Source organism: Homo sapiens, chromosome 2 (genome assembly GCF_000001405.40).
Source record: "Homo sapiens chromosome 2, GRCh38.p14 Primary Assembly".
Classification (NCBI taxonomy): Eukaryota; Metazoa; Chordata; class Mammalia; order Primates; family Hominidae; genus Homo; species Homo sapiens.
Window position 1 is genome coordinate 138736693 of NC_000002.12, and position 20661 is coordinate 138757353.

Below are 20661 nucleotides of genomic sequence, written 5' to 3' on the forward strand. Positions count from 1 at the left end.
AAAAATGGAATTTCTTTTCTATCACATTGTCAGGCTGCAAATTTTCCAAACTTTTATGCTATTTCCCTTTTAAAACTGAATCCTTTAACAGCATCCGAGTCACATCTTGAATGCTTTGCTGCTTAGAAATTTCTTCTGCCAGATAACCTAAATCATCTCTCAAGTTCGAAGTTCCACAAATCTCTATGGCAGGGGCAAAATGCCACCAGCCTCTTTGTTGAAACATAACAAGAGTCACCTTGGCTCCAGTTCCCAACAAGTTCCTCATTTTCATCTGAGACCACCTCAGCCTGGACTTTAGTGTCCATATCCCTATCAGTATTTTGGGCATAGCCATTCAACAAGTCTCTAGGAAGTTCCAAACTTTCCCACATTTTCCTGTCTTCTTCTGAGCCCTCCAAATTGTTCCAACCTCTGCCTGTTACCCAGTTCCAAAGTTGCTTCCACATTTTCAGGTATCTTTTTAGGGGCATCCTACTCCTGGTACCAATTTGGTGTATTGGTCTGTTTTCATGCTGCTGATAAAGACATATCCAAGACTGGAAAGAAAAAGAGGTTTAATAGACTCACAGTTCCACATAGCTGGGGAGGCCTCACAATCATGGCAAAAGGCAAGGAGGAGCAAGTCACATCTTACATGGATGGCAGCGGGCAAAAAGAGAGTGAGAGCCAAGCGAAAGGAGTTTCCCCTTATAAACCATCAGATCTTGTGAGACTTATTCACTATCATGAGAACAGTATGAAAGAAACTGCACCCATGATTCAATTATCTCCATCTGGGTCCTTCCCACAACAGAAGGGAATTATGGGAGCTACAATTCAAGACGAGGTTTGGGTGGGGACACAGCCTAACCAAAGAAGGTGTCCTTGCTTTTCACTTCCTCATGTCTCCAGTACCCACACATTTTCACATTTATTTCAGAGTTGGTGTGTTTCTGGAATGTCTCAGCCTCTCTGGGTCATTCTCTCCCAAGTCAAGAGCAGCATCTTTGGATTATCCAGAGTTGGATGCTCCCTCCAGCTCTTGAAATGGCCAATATCCTCATCAGTATCTATAAAATACATGATTTTGAGGCAACTAAAAAAGTGGAGAGCTTATTTGAATCATTACATAGTGTGCCATCCTTTGGAAGACATTGCCAGTCTTACTATATGGTAAATACCTCGGTGATCAACATGATGGAGTTGACTCATTGCCTTGTTAAACAGAACACCTTCATTTTCTTTTTTTTTTTTAATTATACTTTAAGTTTTAGGGTACATGTGCACAACGTGCAGGTTAGTTACATATGTATACATGTGCCATGTTGGTGTGCTGCACCCATTAACTCGTCATTTAACATTAGGTGTATCTCCTAATGCTATCCCTACCCCTCCCCCCACCCCACAACAGGCCCTGGTGTGTGATGTTCCCCTTCCTGTGTCCATGTGTTCTCATTGTTCAATTCCCACCTATGAACACCTTCATTTTCATACGTAGAAACAGTCTAGTGTAAAGGAAAGAAAGCAGAGTTTAAATTAAGATTTGAGTTCTATATCTGACTTTATTACTTTCTAAAATTTATTTTCTTCATCTGTAAAATGGGAATAATATATAGCTCATGGAGGTATACTGGTAATTAAATAAAATGATGAAGAAAGAAAACACTTGGTATAACGAATGACACTTGGTGGACTCATTCCCCAAATGGAAATCACTATTTATAATTTTATTTTGGAAAAAATTTTCATCTCCCCTTATTGTGTGCAAAAATCTTTATCTAGCCTTTAGAGATATATCTATTACATCAATCCATTAGGATAAAAGATTTAAAGCAAAAAAATTTGTGATAATTCAAAGGATTTTCATGGCACTGATAAATGGGTCTTTTGTTCGGTATAGATTTCCTCAATCACTTCAATGCTCATTATAGAAGCACCTCTGTTCTATTCTCTCTTTTACAGTCTTGTTCCTACAACAAAGGAAATCAAAGCACTCAAGTTCAATGTGATGCAGTGCAACTCTGATCTAACTACACTGAAACAAAGAGTCAGAACCAAGGGGACTGCCTGAATTTGCTCCCCTTGCTCCGCCTGGTTAATGCCACATGCAGAAAATATGTTATCGCTCATGCCACATGTACCGCAGCATCAAAGGGCACAAAATCGGATGATTGGGAACTTTGTCTCTCATCAGCTTCTTTGGAGGTGGACAGGCCTATAAGACCTTGTCTGCATGCACCTCACACAGACTCAATAGACGGCACAATGGAAATTAACAAGCCCTGAAAGAAATGTTGGCTCCAATAATTAACGAAGTCCTGGGAAACAGAGTTATTTTTTTTTGAGAGGGGAAACTTCTAAATACAACGAGTTAAAATCCACCATGGATGTAGGATGGTGAATGAATGTACATATTATTGCTTCCACGGGAAATGTTTTACTGCCTGAAAGCAGAAATTATAAAGTATTGCATCAATAATAAAAAAATAACAACTTTCAACAACACAATAATAATAATGGTAATGTGCTTTTCATTCAACCAAGTAATCACTGAATTCCACATTAGACTAATACACTAGGAGGCTCCAGGAAGAGAAAGAGAACGAGGGCCACAGCCCCAGTGTGAATGAAACCATCAGACATATATAAACAACCACAGGATTTAAAACCAAAATTATAAGTACACACACACATTCAGAAGAGGGAGAGATAGTTACTAGTTGGGATGATCAGGAAAGTCTTCATATGAGAAGCAGCAATGAAATGCAGTGAGGAGCTATTTTGGAAATAGAATATGGAATGACCTAAGCTGTGGAGGGTGTAGAACAGGAGGAAGGGAATGAGGGAGAGAGGAAATGGCAAGTGGTCCTGCATACCTGCCACATGGGCACCACAGGGGGATCACGGGAGGCAAGGCTGGTGGGACATGGTGGGGGCAGGTTACTGAGGGACTTAGATGCCAGGTTGAGGACGTTTGACTTTCCTCTGCAGTTTAGTTGATGGAAGCCATCTGCTCTCAAGCAAGGAAATAACATCTGATCAAAGGGGCTGTGCAAGCTTAACCCAGCAATAGTGAAGCTATCTCAGGTTCATTTTTTGGAATGAAGTAAGGTCTGTATGGTTTATTTCATGAAACAAAAAATAAACATAAGCAAGCAACAAGATAGTGGCATTGTACAGAATGAATTAAAAGAGAAGAGGGAAAAAAATAGAAGTAGGGAGGCCAGATAGAAAGCAGATGGGAGGATACAGTTCTTGACCCTGGAAATTTGGATATATAGACTTTGAATTGTTCCCATAATAGCTGTGGTAATTTTGCCCTCATCCCTCTATCTCTGCTCTCTATAATCCTCTTAAGCACAATGGTGCCAGTTTTCACAATGGCGTTCCATATCCCCAGAAAAGACACACGCAGACTGGCCCATGCTGGGGTCAAGATCACACTGGAACATTAGGGCCACAAGGCCACCAATGACCTGGCCACAGGAGATCCTGACTATGATGATGGAGTAGAAAAGGGTGAGGCTAGTGTAGAGTTTAGTAACTGGGCCTTGGGTAACTTAGGAAGAGAGGGCTGTAGAACTGTTTATGTCTGTCCTTTGAAAAAAAGAGTTAACAACATGAAGTAAAGTATCATTTTTCAACTTTCTGGCTGGAGCTGCTCTGAAATGGTGCTCTGTTTTTTCTGTTTCCTCTCTTAATTTGCCACACAGGTGTCCACTTGTTCTTGAACTTTGCTTGTTTGCTTGCACACCTTTTCAGAAGTTTACCAAAATGTGGTGAGGGGTTCTAGTCACCCTGAAATGAATCCGCTAATTAAATTAATTTTATCTAGGGTATATTGCTTAGTCCAATTAAGTTACTAAGCCAATCACATCAGAATAAATCAACCATATCGTTACGTAACTCTTTTTAATAAACAGAGTTATAATTATATGAAGGCAATTCTGAGGATGCCATATGCTACAACGCAGGGAACCTAATTTATTTCATTGATTTGGAGAGACAAACTCACTCATGTGTAATAACTTTTATCATCCAAGATTTTAATTCTTATTGCGTTGTAAAGTTTAAAGTCTCCTGCTTGCTTTATAGATCACAGTAAGAATTAGTTTGCAATGGGGCTTGTGGGGGAAAAGGAGGGTATGTATTAGGTATGAAATGGTATGCATGAAGCCACGCTGTAAACTCTGCCACAGAAATATGGGGGAAAAGTGCTGATTCTTCCTGCCCTTTTGAACAGCCAATACAGTAGAGATGTGTGTGGGGGCTGGGGGTGGGGTGGGAAAAATACATCTTGAAATAGATGCTTGAAGTGGAGAACCATACTGGGACAATCCCCTTGCTTCCCACCTCCCTCCACATTTTCCTGGCAAGTAATAGGTGCTATATAAACTCCTGGTAAAAATGACTTATTTTAAAATATAACAGAAATTCCACTTAACAGATCTGAGAAAGGGAATGAAAACACCTTTGTCTGTCAACTTGGCCTGATTCTCTACGAATGCTGTTGACTTTTCAGCTTTGTTGAGGATGGGACCAGGGAAGCATGCAGGGGCGTTAGTCCATGGCAGTATAATGTTCAGTTACTGTCTCTGGCCAAGCGACTGCTGGCAGAGCTGTGGGCATCACTGGCCCAAGAGACTCACACACACTTATTCATTCAGCCACTTAGACACGAGGAGCTCAGAAATGCTGGTGGAAGAATGTTCTTGAGAGCTCCTGTGGCTGACCTTTCTTTGAAGAGATTTTAGAGAATGCTAGAAAAACAGGAAATCATCCTCCATGTTTTCCCCCTCATATTTCTTACTAATGAGTTCTAGAATTGTTTAGTCCAAAAATCCCAGTGATTTTGGTGAAAGATGCACAAGCTGATACCTCATTTAGGGATGTAATTTCCCTGTCTGCAGAAGTAGTTCTACTCATAAATCCTATTTTGAAATAACCTAAAGGCAAATATTACTAGAACAAAATAATGTATATTAAAGCAGCACAAGTGGCAGAAATTGATGTGAAAGCAAGGTACTTAGTGGATTACATACTTTCTGCAGTGGTTACAACTAATCCTATTCTGGGCTGCTGCTTGAAATAACTAGATATTACCTACATTTGCTTCTATTTCCTTCCTGCCCTTACATAATTAATTAGATGCCAAATTGACAGAAGTAGAGGATCCCCAAAGCAGAGAAAGACTTGTATTGCATTCATTTGGGGGCATTAATGGGGAAAATGTTATTAATAGCATGGCAAAATGCACTATTGCTAATTCACAGTTACAACTTCCACAAAATTGAGCATATTGCTCTCTATTTAGTGGGCTTGCAAAGTCAATTCCATGCCATCATTACCTCATGATTCTAGCCAACTGTCAGCAATCCAAATGAAAGAGATCAACACAAAATTTGGACCAGATTGAATGAATTCATTACCAGGGTATTAATCCCAGGAATAATGAGTCTTGGGCTCAGATACAGATTGTTTTATTGATCTTCCAAAGCTCCAGATCTGGGGTGTCCGGCAGCCTCATCGTGTGAGATGCCTCAGAGCTAACTCTTGACTCCATCTTCAGGGCTCTTTACTGTCATGAGGGGCTGGAGCTGCAAAGGAGTATGGGTTTCTTCTGGAATCTACATGGGTTCAAATACTGAGGAATCCTGGAATAAAGTGAGGCCTTTTTAACACAGCATATTTGGAAATACGCCCTGGAACTATTTGGAAATAATGGAGCGTATTTAGAAAAAATAGATTGCTTTTGACTAATGGAGAGATGAATTTGGGTCTTATGGGAACGTATCAGAATGTATTTCTGACAGGAATTTTCTCACTAATATTTCTGTGGAATGTTCATTTCAAAAACCCTGGTATGACTGTGGAGTCAGAGAAGAGTGTCCGGTAACAGCAGTAGATCCCATGATGTATGAAAGTGACAGGTGTACAGGACACCAGCAGGGCAAATGAATGAGCAAGTAAGTCTCCTGCTTGGCTGAAACTGTATCCATTCCTAGCAAGCAGGCATCTGCACTTGCTGTTGGGCCCAGAACAAGTCAGCTTTATTTGATGAACCCAAATAAAAAGAAATATTGACCTAACTTATATCCTAACTGTAGTTTTGCAAAGTCAACAAAGTGCTTTTGAAGCTCAGCTTCCCTAGGTATCCAGGAGGTCTAGAGACTGACCTTGAAAACAATGGATTACATCACAATAGAGATATAGTCGTGATTAAAAATAACAACAAATATTGATTGGTCTCGGATATGGCAACCACAAACAGCAACAACATTTTTATCCTGCATTTTCACTTCTAAATCCATGTGTATTAGTATAATTTAGTGAGATCATTTCTTATATACAGGACTATTCCCTCTGATAAACAGTTGTAGCTCACATTTCAAAGAAAAAAATAGCCAAAAGAAAGCAATCACAAATGTATTTCAAGAGAGGTATGCTACTGTCAAAATGGTTCTTTTGATTGCTTGTAACAAAGGCAGTTAGCCTGCATTAATTACATACAAGGAGAAATGGATTTACATATACCACAAGTTATCTCTGGAAGTCACAGTCACCCGGGTGGGATCCACCTTAGTAAAAAAAAAGACTGAAATTAATGTCCATTAACTGGCGAATGGATAAATAAAATGTGGTACATCCATACAATGAAATGCTATTCAGTTATTTTTAAAATGAAGGACTGATACCTGCTACAATATGAATGAAACTTGGAAACATTATGGTAAGTGAAAGAAGCCAGTTAATTTAACTAAATGTTGTATGATTCCATTTACATGAAGTGTCCAGCATAGACAAATCCATAGAGAAGTAAATTAGGGGTTGCCTAAGACTGGAGAGAGAGCAGGGAGGAGATGAAGAGTGACTGCTAATGGGTATGGGGTTTCTTTTTGGGAGACGAAATGTTGTAAGACTAGATAGCAGTGATGATGACACACCTGTGAATATACTGAAACCCACAGAATAAGACACTTTGAAAGAGTGAATTTTATGGCTTGTGAATTGTATCTCAATGAAGCTGTTATAAAAATGATGGAAGTAGCCAGGCGTGGTGGCTCATGCCTGTAATCCCAGCACTCTGGGAGGTTGAGGTGGGCAGATCACCTGAGGTTAGGAGTTCAAGACTAGCCTGGCCAAGATGATGAAACCCCATCTCTATTAAAAGTACAAAAATTAGTCAGGCATGGTGGCATGCACCTGTAGTCATAGCTACTGGAGAGGCTGAGGCAGGAGGATTCCTTGAAACCAGGAGGTGGAGGTTGCAGTGAGCCGAGATTGCGCCATTGCACTCCAGCCTGAGTGATAGAGTGAGACTCCATCTCAAAAAAAAAAAAAAAAAAAAGACAGAAGGTATCCTGTTATTTTCATTAATTTATTATTTTACTTTGTCTTTAAATATCCTACTCTCTTACTCGCTTTAAGAACATTACTCCATCCTCATTATTAGTAGAGGGGTGATTTGGCCAGAAAAAAATTATATGTGTTTTCAGTAGGTATAATGTTATATGGATTTGTCTATTACACTGTACTTTCCTTTTTAAGAATGTTGTCTCCATAAATAAAGTAGGTGACAGTATGCTTCCTCTTACAAGTACAGATAAATAGTCTGTGAAACTGATGATTGGCTTCATAATGGATATGTTTTCCGTCAAAATAAATAAAAGTGAAAACAAAAAAGACAAGGCTTTTCCAGAGGGAGGGAATGAGAGAGAATAGTAATGCATTGTTATCTTTGGTTCTAGCCTGACTACTTCACATCATTCCTTAAAAAAAAAAATAAACTGGCTGTTCCATTAGTACCCAAAGGCATCTTTTGGACCAATATTTTCTTTGATCAGATCAATGTTTTGACACTGGGTAGGTGTCTATCTGATCCCAGCCTCCCTACAGTTACTGATGCGTTTAATCTGCTATTTAATCTACTATCTTCCCTATGTCTCCCTCCTCCAGGTGCTCCAAGCCTTCTTCCTTTTCTTGAGCCTCTCTTACTTTACGGACCTGCTTGAACATGCTTCCCAGTCACTCTCTCTCGGGCACTGGTCCTTAAGGTCTGCTTTTTCCCACTGTGTGATGAATAGAACTCTTCCTGGCTCTAGCCCCACCATGTAAGGACCACGAATCAAGCTCACTTCTTCCCTGCCTAGACAAAGGATCTCTGAGTGTAGACAGCTGCTTCCAGAGGACTTTTTCCCATCTCCATGCCCACATGCTGTGGAAAATGATGTGAGGAATGTTCCTGGAGAGTGCAGGACTCTTAGCCACGCAGGCTTTAGGTGCAAGTACAGAAATGTGAGCCCAGCTGTCAGCTCTCCATGTATGGCTGGCAGAGCAAAGGAAACAGCTGCAGCTGCTGCAATGATGAAAACACGACCTGATTTCCATCACTCCTCTGTGACTGCTGCCCCTAAGACTAACCTTCTCAAGCTGCCCTTCTTGTTTTCTTGGTTGCAGCTGTAGCTGGGCATGCCAGGTGCCCAGCATACTGGGAAAACTGAATGCATAATGCTTTTCATCTTAATGCTACAAAGGAGAAGTAGAGTGAGGGCCATTCCCTGAAACAGGATCAATAGGTTGTAGGATTTGAACCATATATTAACAAATTGCTTTCTTAAGTAGTTTTACCAATTTACACTCTCACCAGCAGTGCATACGAGTGTCAACTTGCCTACCTTCTCTCAAAGACATACATGGATATGGAATAGAATCTTTTTGCTAGTGACTATTAGTGAGTTAAGCAAGCTAATTGTGTACTGGCCACTTAAGTTTCCACTTCGGTGCAATGCCTATGCACATCCTTTTCTTCTTTTTTTGGCGGGGGGGGGGGGGTGTTGTTTGCATGTTTTTCTTTATAGTTCTAAAGTCTTACGCAAAAAGTTAATTGTGTAATACTTTCTAATAACAGAAAAATAGAGAAACATGAAAGAGCATCAATAAGAGAATCAATAAACAAATTGTGGCATAGTTATATACTGGTACATATTATAGCAATAAAAATGAAAGACATTATGTTTTAAAATGGAAAAATCTTGGAAACATAATGTTGGGTTAAACAAACATTTGCAAATGCCAGGCACATCTATCCAACAATTTCAGGACAGCTGTTACCTATGGAGTGAGAAAGAGAGGAATTCAATTATAGGGTGGGGGGAAGAAGCAGGAAGGTGGTTTAGTTGTATCTATCTCTAATGTTTTATTTAAGAAATTTGATACGGCCCATAAATACAAAATAATTAAAGAGTCATAACTCCATTGGGTGATAACACGGCTGGTGGCCTAGTCCACCAAGAGATGGTCAAAATAGCCATCCACAGATTCTGGAATTCTGGTGGCAGTGCTGATAGTCGTGGGGAGAGGAGACAAGGAAGGTGGCAGCACACAGGGGAATTCGTCGTCCTGTATGGAAGCTGTCTGAATGGACTAGGTTGGCACCTTGAGCCCATTCTAAGAAGGTGTTAGAGGATGCTGCACATTGAGCCTGCAATAGCAGCCAAGCACACCAAATTCTCAATTTTCAATTTTACAAAATAGAGATGTCCCTGGGTACCTATGGAGACTTCTTCACAGCTCCCATCAATCCCTCTGTTATCTGCCTGTGCTTGTTCCCTACTGGGACCTCAAGAAAGGACAAGCTATTCAGTAGAGGTGCAACTTGTGTCCTGTGAAGCGGCAGTTCACTTTGCCTCCAGGCACCTGGGGACATGACTGAAACTAAGAACCTCCCTTGGGGAGGAACTGGCCAAAGCTTTCCATGCTCCCTCGTGCCTGGCTCCAGCCAGACAGAGGATGAATGGTGACCTGTATCTGACTTTAGGGTTAGTCTGTGACAGACCTCAGGGCAACAAGAAGCTTTGGTGGGCAAGCCCTTCTTGGTAGGCCCAGCTTCCCAAAACTGCCACAATGGATGAGGACATTGTCAGTCCTCCAGGAAGCTAATATTTCTTGTAAATGAAATGTCAAATTGAGCACATGGGAAGACATCCAAAAGACTACTGCTCTCTCTTGCTCATAACCTACTCACCTTGGCCTCTCTTACTTAAAGCTCCAAGACCCCACTATCACTGACCAAATTCCTACCATCAATTTCACATGAGAATTCTGCTGTTGGTGTTGTCTAACCCACAGAAGTTCCCACTGCCACCACATACTGCCTTTCATTTTCTTTTTCTCAAAGAAATTTCCTATAAAAAAGGGTTTTGAAGCAGAAGACAGCAAAAGAGAAGTGACTGTATGATAAACGCAGTGCCTGGCCCTGATCCTGAAAAGAGGGTACCCTTGTTTTTTCTAAATCTTGCAAGAAGCTTCTTTTAAATATGTAGATAACAACCCAAATCAAGGTTTCATCAAATACATTATATTCCCCTCCCACCTAAGGTTAAATACTCTGCTGTGAAGATAAATCTCAAGATATTTGAACATTCTCCTATTGATGGACGTTTAGGTCATTCCTAATTATTTGCTACCATACGTAGTGCTGTGATGAATATTCATGCACGTTTATCATGCATCCTGAGGGTGGACAAAGTTGACAATTCAGTTCTTATTAAGCTTAAAGGAGATCAAGCAGGGAAAGAAAATTGATGCCCTTGCCCAGTGAACCTTGCTGGATGTCAGGTGTTCTGGGGCTGGTAGTTGTTGGGCGCATTGCTTGAGGAGGGGCTGGATATTAGGATAAGAAGTCAGAGAGGTACCTGCCCTCATTCTGGGACTGTGCTTTGACACTAACTGGATGGAGCACTGAAGGTCCAACTGGAAAGCTGAATGTAATCCCAAAGGCTGTGAAGGGGCCCCGTGTGGTACACTTGGCCCCTGATTGTGACCTGTCCCCTCCCATGGCTGTCAGACCCTCATGGTATTAATGGATATCTCTAGAAAATGGCACCCTTGTAACATTGGAGGTTCTGCTATTCCCTGGTTGGATCTAGGAAGAGTGGGTGTCAAAAAGGGGGCCATAAGTCTCACCATGCATACGTGGTAGTGTACTTTAGGATCTTTTATCTGAATTCAGTCACTCTGGCTGGGCCTACCCTTCCTGTTACATAGGCCTGAGAAGGACTGGGGGAGTCCCCTCTCTTCTTGAAGTCCACTAGCCTGACCACAGAAGATGTTTTCCAAGGACTCATAAAACCCATTGAGGGATATCAACCATCTCTCCAGAATTTGTCTACGCTGCCTCCCTTCTCTCCAGTTTCAGTTTACTGCTTCCATCTACCTTGCCTCAGCTCTATTTTCTCCTCCACACCTTCCCTAGAGGCTCTCACCTTCAGGCTGTCTTTGCTCTGATCACTACTTCTGGACTTATTTCTCCAGGATGATTTTAACATCTTCCCTCTGACATAGTTTTGATGCTAAGTGAGTGGGTCTAGAGTTGAGCTATGGGTCCCTTTATCAGCTTTGCCATTTACCAGGGTAAATTACTTCATGTATTCATTTATCCAGTGTTTCACGATGTTGTCATGTGGGAGGCACTGTGCTAGGTGCAAGTAACACTGCCATGTGTCACGAAGGAAAAAGGACAATGAGCAATTAAAGTTTGCTTAAGCACTCTAGCCTCAGTTTCTAATCTGGAACACAGGAATGAGACAGTTACATCTATCTCGGTTGACTCAGTGAGGACTGCTGTAAGGCTTTCAGTAGTGTTTGAGAATGAAAGCTCATTAGGTGTTAACTCGATATCATCATTTGTATCTTCTGCAGGTCAGCATTGCAATGAGGCATCCTGTTGCCCAACAAGGCCACTTTCTAGGCTGTTTCTCCAATATGGTCCAATCTGGGACAATTATAGGACAAGAATAGAGTACAAATAACAAACGGTGTGCAAAAAATGTGGTAGTGCCTGGAACAATTTATTGCTGAAATGGATAGAAATAAATTAGAAATAAAGAATGCCTGCATCTGAAATTCTCTCTCTCTTTCCCTCTCTCTCTCTTACATGCACGCACACACATACACACATGCACACACATACAGTAATACCATGGAAACTGTATTTATTACAGAAAGAAGAAATTGTCATATTTAAATAGTAAAAGAAGAAGCTTCTACTTACTGACTATTGGATTAACTTTTAGAAATCAAAGATGGCACATTATTGCAAAGCTAATAATAAGATGAATCAGTGTACAAAGCAGAGCACCTGAAGTTAGACTAAAAAAGACATTAAAAAAATAAAATTATGCATTGTGATCAGCAAGCGTAAGGGATGCTCTGATTATATAATAAAAAGAATCAAAGAAAAGCAGTTTTGCATTTTTGCTTTTTCACTACTGCTCTTACCAAAAGGACATAATTTCTTATGACTTTACTTCATCTAGTCCTAAAGTTTTAGGTTTCATTATGGCTTTTATTTCATTAGTGATATTGTTAGGCAAATTTCACCTTGAATTTTAATCCTCAGATGTTGAGGGAGGATCCTGGTGGGAGGTGACTAGATCACGGGGCAGTTTCCCCCATGCTATTATCACAATAGTGAGTGAGTTCTCAGGAGGTCTAATGGTTTTGTAAGTGTTTGGCAAGTTCCTCCTTTGCTCACTCTTCTCTCTCCTGCTGCCATGTGAAGAAAGACATGCTTGCTTCCCCTTCCAACATAATTGTAAGTTTCCTGAGGCCTCTCTAGCCATATGGAACTTTGAGTCAATTAAACCTCTTTCCTTGTCTTGGGCAGTATCTTTATGGCAGTGTGAGAATGGACCAACACAACTAGTAAAGTTATTATTAATGATAATACCTTACATTAATGATATACCTTTATGTTTATAAAATTCCTTTTATATACTTTAGCTTTGATTATTGACATGTTTTAAACATTTTCCAATAATGGATCCCAAATGTACAAAATGTTCAGTGTAAATTTTTATTTAAAATAATAATTTAATACACGTTCAAGAATTAAGAGGTTTCTTTATGCTTTATCTTTCATCTGCCTCTTTATCCTGAGCAGAATTATTAGTGTAAAAATAAAATAAAGATATTCAAGGTTTTGAAGACAGTTGCAGAAAAAAAGTAATTTTAAATCACAAATAGTTAAGAATACAATTTATAATGTCAGAATAAAATAATAAATTTCACTGACATGAAACATTTCTCTTATAAAAACACCACAACCTAGATTTTGTTCTTTGTAAGAGATAAAATTTAATTGAGCAAATATTCTTCTACAAACTTAAGACCAATGCAAGCGTTTCCTAGTATCTGTATAAAACAGAGTGTGTCGCTTATTTAAAGGGACTGTTTTGTTTCATCATTTCAAATGATGCTTAGAAGTCAGGTTGAACCCAGGAACCCAGGGCCACAGGTGTCCAGTCTCAAATAAGACAAAGAAAATAGCATAGTAGGCATTTCACTGATTAGAAGACATTTCAATTTAAACATCGTTTTCTTCTCCGTCTTAACAGAAAATACACAAGGGATACATACACGATGATGTTCAGGGTGACAGGAGGCTTCTATAGGATAAAAATAATAATGCAGATTTTTTTTACTTCCAAAATACAAGTCTTCTTTATTCTTTTCCATGATGAAGATTGAAATGATGCTTCTTTTATAGCTCACCATATACTATGCTCAAAGAAGCATTTTGTGAATGTAAAAGTTGTGTTCTGGTTTTAACATCTCTCATGAAGTAAATAGAGTAAGTAACCTGGAATATATGCAAATAATTTCATTCTAAACATTAATACATAGTCCAAATATACACTGGGGCATAAGCAAATGAAGGATTAAGTAATTCATCATTTTGGGGTACTAAAATAAAAAAAACTCATGACATTTTAAGACAAGTATTTATCTAGTAAATAGCCAAATTGTAGAGTTATAAACATCATCAGAAGTAGAGCTGTAAATGTGAACCAGCAGATTGAAATCTCATTCATTTGTCCAGTTATTTATTCAGCAAATATTTATTGAGTGCTGCTACAGCCCAGGAACTATGCCTAGGTATTAGAGACACAAAGGTGAATAAGACCCAGTCCCTACCTATGAAGGTCTTGCAGATAAGTGAATGATGGCAAATCTGCTGGACAAAAATATCACTTTAAAAATTAAATTACAAGTAAAAAGAGATGTATACACAGTCTCAGTAACTTCAAGACAACAACAACAACCATAAAAATCTAAATAGTACAGGCTTGATATGAGTAGGATCTGTGTCCCCACCAAATCTCATATTGAATTGTAATCCTCAGTGTTGGAGGTGGGACCTGGTAGGAGGTGATTGGATCTTGTTCGGATGTTTCCATGTCTGGCTTCTTCACTTCACTCTGGGCTCAGATCAAATGCCAAGTCATCTAGGCCTTCTCTTGCAACCCTCTATAAAGCTGTGCTCTCCTGCTTAACCCCACGTCCCCTCCCCACCCCCACCCCCATCTCTTTCTCATTACCCTGTGTTTCCTGCATAGCATCCTTTACTGCCCAACAGTCTCCTAGAGACTTACTGCTATTTTCTATCTTTCTGCTAGAATATATGCTCATGAGAGCAAGTAACTAGTTGTCAAATGAACCAGAATATCTTGACACAGAAGGTACTTGGCAAAAACATTTGTGCATGGAATCAGTAGCAGTACAGATCACACTCTGAGATCCAGCTACCCACAGAAACCCAGATAAGAAAGATAATATTTAGGGAAGATAATTTTAAGAACAAGGTTAACTATATACTTCTCTCAGTTGTCTAATATATCCTCAACTTAAAATTTGGAATGTATTCCAAAATACATGAACTACATTATAACATCATCTCAAATAACTATGTGCTTTGAATTGCCTTTTATTATTATGGCTTCAATCTGTTTGTCAGATTTTATGAGAAACAACCATATAAATTTTATTTCCATATTGGCTGTGAAACTATTGTGAACAATTTTTTCCTTTTACCTCCTTAAAATATCCTAATAAATCCATTCAGACTTTCTAACAGGGGAAAGTTTTGCCTCTCTGAGAAACTGGTATGTTCTCTCTTCAAAGGAGACATATAATATAACCATATTTCCTTATTTTTCTTGGCCACCAGATAAAATAGTGTCAGCTTTCATGATGAATTATAATAAGTGTATTAACCTTTATGGTTAAAGTATTTATTTATTCCCTCATAATTCTGTTTAGATTTTTTAAAATTAATGTTATCATATTTTTTCCAGGGTGTCTTCAATTCTTATTTGAAAGGTTGTAAGTAATACTGAATTTAAATTGTAATGGTAAGTCCTAAATGTAATACTCAGAAGTGCTCAATACTGAACTGAATAACAGACATTGCTGAGACTGTGGAGAGATAACTCTAGGAATATTTGAGATGCTTAAATTACTTTGAGTTTGGTTTCAAAAATACATTGAACTATGAAATAGAGGCCCAAAAGGATAAGAAATAAATTTTGAGAATAAAGCAATAAAGAATGATTTAATTTTAGCTAACAACATTATTAAAGGCCTCCTGTATCTAACAATGCGATAAGGCAATGTAAAGAGAGAAAGTCCACATATGATTTCTTTTACACTCAAATCTTATTTACTAGGCCCAGGATTCTGACAAATCCCTCATTTTCTCTCAGCATCAGACTCCTTATCCCTAGATTGAAAGAAAAACACTGTCCCGGTGGGGTTGTGATGGGGATTGAATGAGATAATAAAACTCAGGCATCCAGTAGAGTTCTTGGCACAAAATTAACAACGGAGAATTCAGGAGAGGGCCTCTTATCTGATGCCTTTAGGTCTGGCACTGGGCCAGTTCAAAAGAGATATCTACATCTGAGACATGTACAACCTCATACATCATACACTGTCTTACACATTTTAAACATACTTTTAATGCCAGAACAGTTTTAAGTTTGCATAAAATTGTCAAGAAAGCAGAGTTCCCATATACATCACACCTAATTTCCCTAGTTTCAACATCTTATATTAGTATTGTATATTTGATATTATTAATAAACCAATATTGATATATTATTATGAACTGAAGCCCATACTTTGTTCAGATTTCCTCAGTTCTCTCCTAAGGTCCTTTTCCTGTTCCGGGATCCCATCCAGGTACGCATTCCATTTAGCTATCGTGTCTCCTGGACTCCTCTTGGCTGTGGCAGTTTCTCAGACTTTCTTTGTTTCCGACGACCTTAGCAGTTTTGAGGAATGCTGGTCAGGTTTTTAAAGAATGTGCTACAAGTGGAACTTGTCTGATGTTTTTCCCATAATCAGACTGGGATTACATGTTTGGGAGAGGAATACTACATAGACAACATGCTGTTTTTCATCCACTGTGTTAAGGATATATAAAATCAACATGACATTACGTTAATTTTAACCTTGATCATCTGGATGAGGTATGGCTGTCAGCTTTCTCCATTATAAATTTATGTTTCCCCTTTTCATACGGTATTGTCTCGAAGGAAGTTATTATGCACAGCCCACGCTTAAGTTATGTTTCCCCTCCTTGAGGGTGAAGTATCTATATAAACCATTTGGAATCCTTCTGCATGGGAAATTTATTATTCCTCATTTGTTTATTCAATAATTTATATCAGTAAGGATAAATGGTTATTGATTTTATACTTTGGGTTATAATCTAATGTTAATTTACTCTGTTGTTCACATTGACCAAGATTTGACCACTGAGGGTTCTTTCAGTTGGCTCCTGGGTCCTTGTGACAGTGAGGGTTTGCTTGTGGTTTGTGTTGATAATTTTGTTTTTGAGCATCTCCTTACTTTCTGGCACTACAAGACACTCTAGGACCATGTTGTATATTTCCTGCCCAGGTTCTAGAATCAGTCATTTCTCCAAGAAGCCTTAATTCTTTTCTTGTATGAAAAATGGTATTAGAAACCAAAATCTGGTTTCTAGGCATGCTCATTGCTACTGGAGTGTTTTGTTTTCAGGCCCTCTCAGCTGGTAAGAGCAAGAAAATATATATGTGTATGCTAACTTGTAAATATATACATATATCTATAAATATTTTTATGTGCAACCATGTGTATCTGCATTAAACTAAAACTGAGTGTCTACAGATGTCACCAACTCTAATTCATCACCAAATAGATCACTGTAGCCTCCTCCCCTTGATATCTGTAAATTCCAGCTTCAGAGTGAGAAATCCAGCTCCCACTGTACACCATACATTGACTTAATTGATCTATTCCAGTATTCATGTATTGTGACACAAGAATTGTTAACCTACAACTCCATGGAAAATAACTTTATTAACTAGAGTACAGTGCTTATATACAGTTTCTTGCTGTTAGTTTTACAGACTCCACTCATCATTCATATATACAATTACTTAGATCAGGAAACATCACCCCCTCCCTATCCTCTTCAGTGAGGTTATTTCAATTTTTTTTGTTGTTTGTTTTTTGAGGTGGGATCTTGCTGTGTTGCCAGTCTGGACTCACACTCCTGGGCTCCAGTGATTCCCTCCCATCCCAGCCTCCCAAATACCTGGGACTACAGTTTCAAATAATTTTAATACAATTAGGCTATTTTGTCATATTTTGTATTTCATCCTGAAATCCCCCAGCCTCTTTATTGATTTTTTAAGTTTACATATGTAAGGATTCAGTCACCACACTGGAAAATTGTATGGACTTTAACAAATGCATAGCATCACATATCCACCATTAGAGTATCATATAGAATAGTTTCACCAGACTAAAATACAGCCTGTCCTTCACTATCCAAACCTTCCCCTTCCCTCTGAACCTTTGGCAACCACTGATCTTTTTACCATCTCTATAGCTTTACCTTTTCCAGAATGTCACATAATTGGAATTAGAAAGTGTGTGGTCTTTTAGACTGGCTTCTTTTACTCAGCAGTGTGCATTAAAGGTTCATTTATACATTTTCATGGTTTGGTAGCTCAAATTGTTTTTATCACTGAATAGTATTTCATTGTATGAAGGTACCATGGCTTGTTTATCTGTTTAACTATAGAAGCACAGCTTGTGTGCTTCCAGTTCTTTGTAATTATAAATAAAGCTGCTATAAACATTTGCATGCAGACATTTTTTGTGGAAATAAGTTTTCAAACCTATTGGGTAAATATCTGGGAGTTCAATTCCTGGGTCATATAATAAAAATACATTTAGCTTTATAAGAAGCTGTCAAACTGTCTTCCAAATATTACAGTCAAGCTACATCCCAAAATTGCAATACAATTTTGTGTTTTGATCAGCAATGAATGAGAGTTCCTGTTGCTTTGCATCCTAATCAGTAATTGGTATTGTTAGATTTTGGTGGATTTTAGGCATTCTTATGTGTATTGTGGTATCTTCTAGTTGTTTAAATGTTCAATCATGAATGACAAATGATGTTAAGCATCTTTACATATGTTTATGTGTTATCAGTACATCTTCTATGATTAGGTATCAGATCTTTTGGCCATCTTTAAATTGCTTTTTACTGTTGAGTTCTAAGAATTCTTTGTATATGTTGCATACAAGTTCTTTATCAGATATATATTCAGCATATATATCTCAGTATACGGCTTATCTTTTCATTCTTTTAATAGTGCTTTCACTGAGAAGTTTTTAATTACAATAAGGTTCAAGCTGTCAATTTTTTCTTTCGCAAAGTGTGCCTCTATATGACCCAAGGTCACATAGATTTTCTCCTGTGGTTTTTTTCTAGAAGTTTTGTAGTTTTGCATTTTAAATTTATGTCTATGGTCTGTTTTGAATTACTGCTGTGAAAGGTGTAAGTTTTATGTCTACATACATATGTTGCATATGAATGACCAACTGTTCCAGCATCATTTGTTGAAAAGGCTATACTTTCTCCATTGAATTGCCTTTGTTCCTTTGTCAAAAATCAGCTGACTATATTTGTGCAGGGCTGTTTCTTAGTTCTCTTTTTTGCACCATTGATCTATGTGTCTATATTTGCTTTTTTTAACCAATACCATGGTGTATTGAATACTACAGCCTAATAGTAAGTCTTAAAATCAGGTAATGTGAGCCCTTCAGTTTTGTTTCTCAGTATTATGTTGGATATTCTAGGTATTGGACTTTCTATAAAAATTTTAGAGCCAGTTTGCAATATCTGCGAAGTAGCCTGCTTGAATTTAAATTGGTATTGCATTGACTCTGTTGATCAAGTTAGGAATAAATGACATTTTAACAATATTGAGTTTTCCAATTCACAAACATGCACTGGCTCTCCATTTATTTAGATTTTTTTTTGTTTTCTTTCATCAGTGTCTTGTAGTTTTTCACATATAGATCATGTACATATTTTATAAGATTTATACTTAAATATTTCAATATTTTTTGGTGCCATTGTAAAACTGGATGTTTCAGATTTCAAATTCCAGTTGTTCTTTACTGGTATACAGGAAACAAATGAACTTACTAACCTTGTATCCTGAGACCTTGCCATACTCACTTATTCATTCCAGGAGTTTTTATTGTTCTTTGTATTGATTCTTTGGGATTTTTCTACTTATTCAATAATGTAATATTTATTAATTAAATGAATATTTATTAATTACTCTTTATGTAATCAGTTTTATTTCTTCCTTTCTAATATGAACACCATTGATTTTGTTTTCTTGTCTTATTGAACTAGCTAGAACTTCCAATATAAATCTTTTTCATTTTGATCAAAACATATAATGCCAATCTTTCACTGTTAGGCCAAGATATGTTTCCCTCAGAATGGGTGTTATGTGTTATATTTCTTGCAGAAACCACACTTACTCTAAGATTTTTCAGCACCAATTATTTTAAGCACCCCCAAAATGGACACACTTGAAAAGAAATCTAGGTGCAGAATGTGCTTAAAATTTTAGGACTTTTTTTTTTTTTTGCCTTTTTATGTTTCAAATGCGTTGGTCATGCTAATTTCCCCAGCTATTTAAAAAAGTAGCTTTTACTTAATCTTTCAAAAGTGTTTAACTGAATTTTTATGAAAGAAAATCTCTTGCTCTTGGGAAACAATTTTTATCAATCCACAATAATAATTAATTAAATTACAGTATCACAATAACAAGTGGAGGTGGCATAAATACGTTGGATACAAAAGAACACTGATATAATAATAGCAACTCTATTGGCAGAAGCAGAAGTTTTCGCTCATGGCCTCAAACTCTCAGTGTTCCACAAGACTAGTTAGTATATCTGACAGGGGAATCAAAGCCACTAGTTAGGCTGGCAAATCAGTTAAGTGGACTAAGAGGTAATTTATTGTATTAAATTATAGCCTTAATTTTGGACCAATGAAGGAATGAAGCAATATTCAGTGGGTATGTGACTTACTCATTCTAATAACTAACTAAACTCTTACTCTAAGCAAAGTAACATAACACTGTCTTTTTTATTTTGTGGAAATGTGACCATCTATACAATCTGAAGTAGTATGTCTTTAATAAAAAAGATTTAAAATAGGTTTAAATCTATCACAATGCAAGGCTACCTGAGAAAGGAAGCCAGCAGTTTATAAGAATTGTATTGAACACTTTACATAGAGATTTCCATTAATTTAAGCATACTATAAAGTTCTTCAGGGCAAGAAATATGCTTCCCATTTCCTCATATTTCCTACAACAATGGCCTTGTAATGGTAGGAAATGTTGGCTAGGCTGAACTACATTTCTCAGAATTTCCTTCTATGCTGGGTTAGATGGGCCATGAGAGAGATTCTTCTGAGATGTAGAAGGCGTAAGGAAGAAGACACACATGTGCTGCTGCCGATCTGCT

General features: G+C 38.0%; 1 protein-coding gene across 1 annotated transcript in view, besides 1 other annotated feature; it reads right to left on the reverse strand.

Moving 5' to 3' along the window:
• NXPH2 (neurexophilin 2) overlaps positions 1 to 20661 on the reverse strand; it is a 111234-nt gene that overhangs the window by 67536 nt on the left and 23037 nt on the right. The gene's annotated exons all lie outside the window — the stretch shown is intronic.
• Positions 17988 to 18489: an enhancer, noted in NCBI's record as "NANOG hESC enhancer chr2:139512250-139512751 (GRCh37/hg19 assembly coordinates)". NCBI's record gives its function as "activates a minimal SCP1, AML or CMV promoter by ChIP-STARR-seq in naive H9 embryonic stem cells {active_cell/tissue: H9 hESC(naive)}" and the evidence as "EXISTENCE:reporter gene assay evidence [ECO:0000049][PMID:30033119]".